Source organism: Homo sapiens, chromosome 2 (assembly GCF_000001405.40).
Source record: "Homo sapiens chromosome 2, GRCh38.p14 Primary Assembly".
NCBI lineage: Eukaryota > Metazoa > Chordata > Mammalia > Primates > Hominidae > Homo > Homo sapiens.
In genome coordinates, this window is record NC_000002.12 from 57,443,633 (window position 1) to 57,450,648 (window position 7,016).

At 37.1% G+C, this 7,016-nt stretch overlaps 1 annotated feature.

The window, feature by feature from the left end:
* Nucleotides 6,696-6,775: a silencer, noted in NCBI's record as "silent region_11503". NCBI's record gives its function as "represses an Ori minimal core promoter by ATAC-STARR-seq in GM12878 lymphoblastoid cells {active_cell/tissue: GM12878}" and the evidence as "EXISTENCE:reporter gene assay evidence [ECO:0000049][PMID:35858748]".

Genomic DNA, 7,016 nt, shown 5'->3' on the forward strand with positions numbered 1-7,016 from the left:
TCTTAGACATATTAATAATACAGGATCAAGGGATCTCTGATGATCATGATTTACCACAGAACCATACAAGTTCATTAGGCTGATGACATTATGCTGAGGCACCACTGTATCAGTGAAGTTTTTAGAAGTTTGGTAGCTTGTGGCCCATCAAGATGCCCATTCTAAGCAAAAGAAGAGTTGTTCCACTTTGCACAACTCACAACTAACAAGAGACATAGTACTTGTTGGACCTTGTGGATTTTAAAGACAGCACTTGCTGCATTAGTGTGTGATACTCTGACCCATTTACCAGACTGCCCATTTTGAATACAATCTCGAATATAAAAGACCCTGCAGCAGTTCCCAGGCTCAGATGTAAGGTACTTTGCTCCTCATGCCTTATGACTAAATGACCACATGGTATTCAAAGTGTCTGGGGCAGACTGAGATGTTACATAAAGTCTTTGGAAAACCGCAAGAGGAGAACCACATCACAAGTTTTGGAGTAAGGTCATGCCCTCTTATGCTTAAAAAATGTCCTCTACTTGCAAAGTTATTAGGCCCTGGTAGAGACATAGTGCTGCCCATGAAAGAGCAATTGATTATGTGTCCCACGTTGTCTACAGTGACTTGAATATTGCATGATTCATCAAATTCTAAAATTAGACATGCACTTCAGCATTATTATATTGTGTAATAAAAATGACAAATGACACTGAGCAAGTCTGGAAAGCACTAGAAAGCTGCATGAGAAGGTGGCTCAGACTCCCATGACACATATTCCTACTCCTTTACGGCTTCTTCCTCCACCAACATGTATAGCCTCGGGGGGAGTTCCCTATGGTCAGTTAACAGATGAGGAATATACATGGGCCTGGTGACTAGATGGGTCTGTTGGTGCAACGGTGTCTGTGGACTTACACAATTACAGCCACTCGCAGATGTTATCCTGGAACTGGATCCTCTCAGTGGTCAGACTATCATTTGACACATCTGTTAGTGCATGTGATATAGAAGGGAAGAAATCCTGAAACACAGATACACACTGTTTCATGGACAGTGCCTAACAATGGGTAGCTAAGAACAGAAAAATCAACATTCGTAGATTTAGAACTAGGAGTTTAAAGAAAGAGGAAAATGGATAAACTATCAGAATGAACACAGAGTGTGAAGATATCTGTGTCCAATATATGCCTACTCAGGTTATGTGAAAATAAATGCCTGTATTATCCCAACCAGTAGTGATCCCAATCCACTGTAGGAGAGTCTCAATAATGGAATGGAATTGATGACTCATTCTCTGAATGTCAGGCAGTCACTTTTCCCAACAACTCTCCTGTTTCAAAGTGTGTACAGCAGACTCAACACCATGAACTTCCTCTCCCAAGGCTGATCTACAGTTACCACTGCTGACGGCCCATTCTGCCAATAGCAGAGGTCAATGCTGTGCACCTAATGGGCCATCGTTCCCTGATGAGACCAGACGACCACCAAATGGCAAGCTGATTACTTTTCACTTTGGGGGAGATAGTACGTTTCCCCACTAAGGAAGAGATGCATATTTCAGATATGGATTTCCCTTCCCCGACTACCATACTGTGGGCTTTCAGAATGACTTACTCATCACCATAATATGACACATGGCATTGTTTCTGATTTTTAAAAATCACATTGTAATGAAGAAAATATGGCAACAGACTTTCACAGAATTCCCAAGTTGTAGTGTATATTCCATCACCCAGATTCACACAGCTTATAGATTAGTAGAATGGCCTATTGAAGACTCTGTTAAGGTACCAGTGGGGAGAGAACACATTGTGAGACTGGGGTGCTGTCCTTTACATTATAGCTTATATAGCTTATAAACTGTAATTCAAGCATATGCAATTTATAAGCTGCTGCCTTACAGTATATTCTTTTTTTTTTTTTTTTTTTTTTTTTTTTTTTTTTTTTTTTTGAGACGGAGTCTCGCTCTGTCGCCCAGGCTGGAGTGCAGTGGCGCGATCTCGGCTCACTGCAAGCTCCGCCTCCCGGGTTCACGCCATTCTCCTGCCTCAGCCTCCCGAGTAGCTGGGACTACAGGCGCCCGCTACCACGCCCGGCTAATTTTTTGTATTTTTAGTAGAGACGGGGTTTCACCGTATTAGCCAGGATGGTCTCGATCTCCTGACCTCGTGATCCGCCCGCCTCGGCCTCCCAAAGTGCTGGGATCACAGGCGTGAGCCACCGCGCCCGGCCTAGTATATTCTTTAAGGTAGCACCTGGTACTTAGTGTTATCTCCCCCAGCATTAGAATGCATGTATTCACGAAAAAAGGGGTGAAGTGGGAATGACCGCTCTCATTATTTTACTTAATAATCCACTTGAGGAATATCTGTTTTCCATCGTTGCAGCCATTTACTCAGTAGATTTGGGTTCTAATGCCCAAGAAAGAATGATTCCACTGAGGGATTACAATCAGATTTTGGTTAAGTTGGAACCTGAGGCTGTTGCTCATCCATTACAGTTTCCTGGTGGTGCTGAGGAAAATGATAAGGCTTCTATTGAACAGGGTTATTAGATTACCCCAACCCAATTGAAGCAATAAAGTGTTTATCTGAAACCGAAGGAATTCACTGGAATAGTTTTTAATGGTCCTTTATCCAAAGGACTACCAAGTACCAAGATTATGTGGAAATAAACATTTGGATCACACCCCATCAAATAATGATCCCCATTCAGCCAAGATCCAAAAAGGGAGTGACGGGAAACTGGAGTGGGTTGTGGAAGAAGAAAATGAAATTATCAACTCAGGCCTAATGACTATCCATAGAAGTGGGCCTGTATTAGCTATGCTTTATGTTAATTATTTTTTCTTCCTCCATTACATGTTAGTAACAGCACTGATAAGGGCTGATGACTTAGGATTTACGTGATTGTATGATGAGAAATTGACATCATGTTGTCATTATACGATAACTGATGGAACTTGTATGTCTCCTGAGTTTACACAAAACTTTTCATCTGGCTGGAGGATTAAAGTGGATGTAGAAAGTTTTAATATGTGGACCATGCTGGAATAGTCTCCATTTGTCCCTACAAATCCACATGCCAGACTGCTTTGTGACTTTGGATGTCAATCTTCATGGACTACACAAACTAGGTTACCGTCTCCTCTAATTTCTGGTTGGTTCTGTCCAGAGGGAAAGCAGAGGAAAGAGGGAACTACAGCAATCAGAGGAGAGATAATTCTGGAAATTTATACTTTTGGCTTTATCCCTGCTAGGCTGCCAGTTATCATTATCATTGGCCATAGCTCCTGTTAGACAGCTTTTTTCCTACAGCTACTGGTCTCGCCAGTGTCTGATAACTACTAGCGCCCCTTGCATCTACAGGTCTAGTGCAGGTAGACCTAGAAACCAACTGTTTCTCAATTCATTGTTCTTTTTAACTCTGCCCACACATTTATAACAAATTATTTTATTAAAATTTCCTCATTTACCCCTCCTATAGGTGTCACCACCTTGGTTAGTTTCTTTACGAAAACCTAACTGATTTTGTGATGCATTTTACAAATGTATATCTACTTGGGTATTTGCTTATTAATGTTTTGGTTGCATTTGATATACTTATTTTAAAATGCTTTTAATGTAGTTGCATCAAACATCTTTTTTCTTGTAATTTCAATCTTTGTTTTAATGCTTAAAATAGCCATTTCAGCCAAATATTATTTACATATTCATCTATATTTATTTTAGTACACTTGTAGTTTTATTTTTAAATAAATCTTTAATGCAATTGAAAATATGCATATGAGATAATATTATAAGGTAGATACATGAGTTTTCTTTTTTTCTTCCAAGCACAATCAGATCTAGGTTATCAGATGGGCAATTCTCTCCTGATATGAAATACCCTTTTTATAATTCATTAAATTATTATGATTTAGATGCGTTAGCTTCTCCCTAGGGCTATTTAAAGAATCAAGTACCATAGTAGATTTAAAATATTAAATAAATAACAATTATTATTACTCAAGAATGCTTAACTCATTAAATAGATTGAAGATGGGTTTCCAAAATGTTATATGAGCCATCTACCCTTTTGGAGCAAGTGAATATGTACGTGATCCCTGACAAATTATTTTCTGTTTATTTAACTTAGCAATTCTGTTCAAATTTAACTAGTGTTCAGCACTTGGATTTTCATTTTGCACACTAGATGTATGCATTTCTGGAATAATTGAATAGTGTCTTACAACCTGAAAAAAATAAACATAAGCAGCACATGTTCATTGAAGGATTGCAGACAGCACGTAGTCCGTGGATTAGCTTGATTCAAAATGAAGCTTTAATTAGAATATATATTAGAACCAAACTTATAAAGCAGAGTAGGACCTGGAGTGGAGCCTGGACTCATTACTTACAGTCTAAATGGCAGCATTATCATACATCCTTCAGGAAGAACTTAGTCTTTATAATAGAAACAAAGCAATACCTGAGCTTCTGAACAAGATTTCTCTACACAAAGAAATATGTGTGAAACAATAAAAACCTGGAAAGCAATCTAGAGTGTGGTTGAATAAGCTATAGAAATTGCTATGAACTAAAATAAGTGAGGAGCAAAATATGGATTGAGTAATAAGAAAATTTGCCTAAAGCCACATGTCGGAGATAGTCTATCTAATTTACAACTTCTTTGCTCTAGTGACAAGTGGTTGACTGCTTTTTGGTTTTTATGTGTGCGTTTTTGGTTATAAAGTATAGCATTACAAGAAAAGTTATTTCCCTGTAATATCTCAAGTTATTCCCTAGAGAACAGATTTTTTTAAACAAAATGTACTCTGACCCAAAAACATTTGTATTCTAAAAGGGAGTTTCATGGGCACTGTCTGTCAGCATGCTCACTGTGTTTTGTTCTTTAAGAAGACATTAGTATACTCCAAACTTATCCAGATTGAGTAGGATAGATATAAATAAATTTCACTTATATATCATAAATGGGATTATAAAATTCATCAGTAAAATAATGATCTGGCAAAATATTTACTTTAGAAAACTATTAATAAGTCCTTACATATTTGGAATATAACAAATGATTAGAATAAACTGATAGCTCTTTTCTGGGGCAAATTTCATTCCTATAGTTTCAAGAAGAGTTGAAAACTTAAAGGAATAAAATTGTTTTTAATATTTCAAAACATATATATTAGTCAGGCTTTAAAAATAATGTATAATAAGAACCCTAATATCTCAGTAGCTTAAAATACCAGACATTTATTTTACACTCACGTGTCTGCTATTTGGCTGCAATTCAACAGATTTTGTCTGAGCTTGGATATGCTGGATGATATTACATTTGGGTTCAGATCTGCTTTGCATGCAGTCATTCTAGAAAACAACTGGAAGGAGTAATGAACGCCTGGGGCATGTTCTTCCATTGCAAATCCTTCCAAAATCCCAGCTCAGAACTAGCCTTCTGACACTGTTGCCCACAACCCAGCTGGCCACAGCCAGTCATATAGCCAAATTTTTTGCCTATGAACTGGAGAAGTACGCTTTGGCCATGCAGAGGAGTAGGCAGTTAATATGTGATGAGGAGTAACCTAACCTACCACAATGAGAATGAGCTGGTTTATGAGCTAGTTCAAATCTTCTACTAGAAGATAAAATGAGAGATTCCACTCCAATGATCGATATTCAACAAGTCTGAGAGGAAATTACACCCTATTAGACATTTTGTCTATTCAAAGACTTACACTTTGAGTGCAGAAAACAACATTATATCATATAGTCATCTCTTCTATTGGACAGGAGGTCTTGGGAATGTAAAGCGAAATTTATGATAGTAAAGGCAGTGTCAAATTAATGTGCAATATTCTTCTTAATTATCAGATTATTTGGCAAACTTTCCATTTAATGCAAGATGAATAAAAGTGTAGAGATTACCATACCTTCTTTAGTTATGAATCCAAAACTCCTTTTCATCAAAGTCTTTTAAAAGATAAGAAAAATGATACCTATATTATGGTGTTTGTTAATTCAAGTTTACTTGACTGCATAACTTTTCTGGTTTATAAATACAGTAATACAGCATATTTTTATTTTTCATTATAGAGATCAAATATTTGACTATTCTGTATGTTACAAGTTCAATCAGTTTTTTTTATTGACATTAGCACAAGGTGATCTTATATTATTCAAGGTAAAATGGTGATTCCAAATTAAGAAATGAGGTGATATTAAAGTTGTTTACTAACTTCTTTAGTCATAATTTATGTAAATTACCTCCTCAATAAAAACCACTAAAATATTTTTTATTTAGAAGAATGTTAATTCACCTTCTATACTGTGCTACTTGATTTTATTAATTGATATACTTCTTGTTGGATGATGTTATACTTAATCTTCCTTCAATATCCAGCTTATGTTCCACTTTCTCCATGAATTTTTTTTTAGATACGATGACCTACACTGATCTCATCTGTCTCTGACATCTCTTGGTTTTTGTAAATACTATTTTTTGTTGTTGTTGTTGTTCTCTGATGCTTATAATATCAGTTGTTCTTTCAAGTAGAAAAGCTTTGGTTATCTAGTGCTGCCTAAGAAATCCCAAACTTCTAGCAAAAACAGTAACTATTGTTTATTTTTCTTATCTCTCCTCATTCTGTGGTGACTAACCTTATCTAGGTGGTTGTCTCATATGGTCTTTCATGAAGTTGCAGTCTGACAGCATCTGGGCTGGAGTCATCTCAAAAGCCACCTCAGTCAAGTTTCTGTAGGCTGATGCTTGCTATGAGCTAGAACCTCACTGGGAGCTCTCAGCCAAAACACCTACACATGGTTTCTTCATATGACTGAAACTTCCACACATTATGGCACCTGGATTCTAAGAGTGAGTATCTTATGAAAGCAAATTTTGCATGGAAGCTATGCTACATTTGTGACCCAGCCTCAGAAGTCATTGAGCTAGACCTGATTTTAAAATGACATTCTAACCTCATCTCCCTGCCCCATACCCCCCAACATCTACTCCATGCCCCACTATCAAAACTAGGC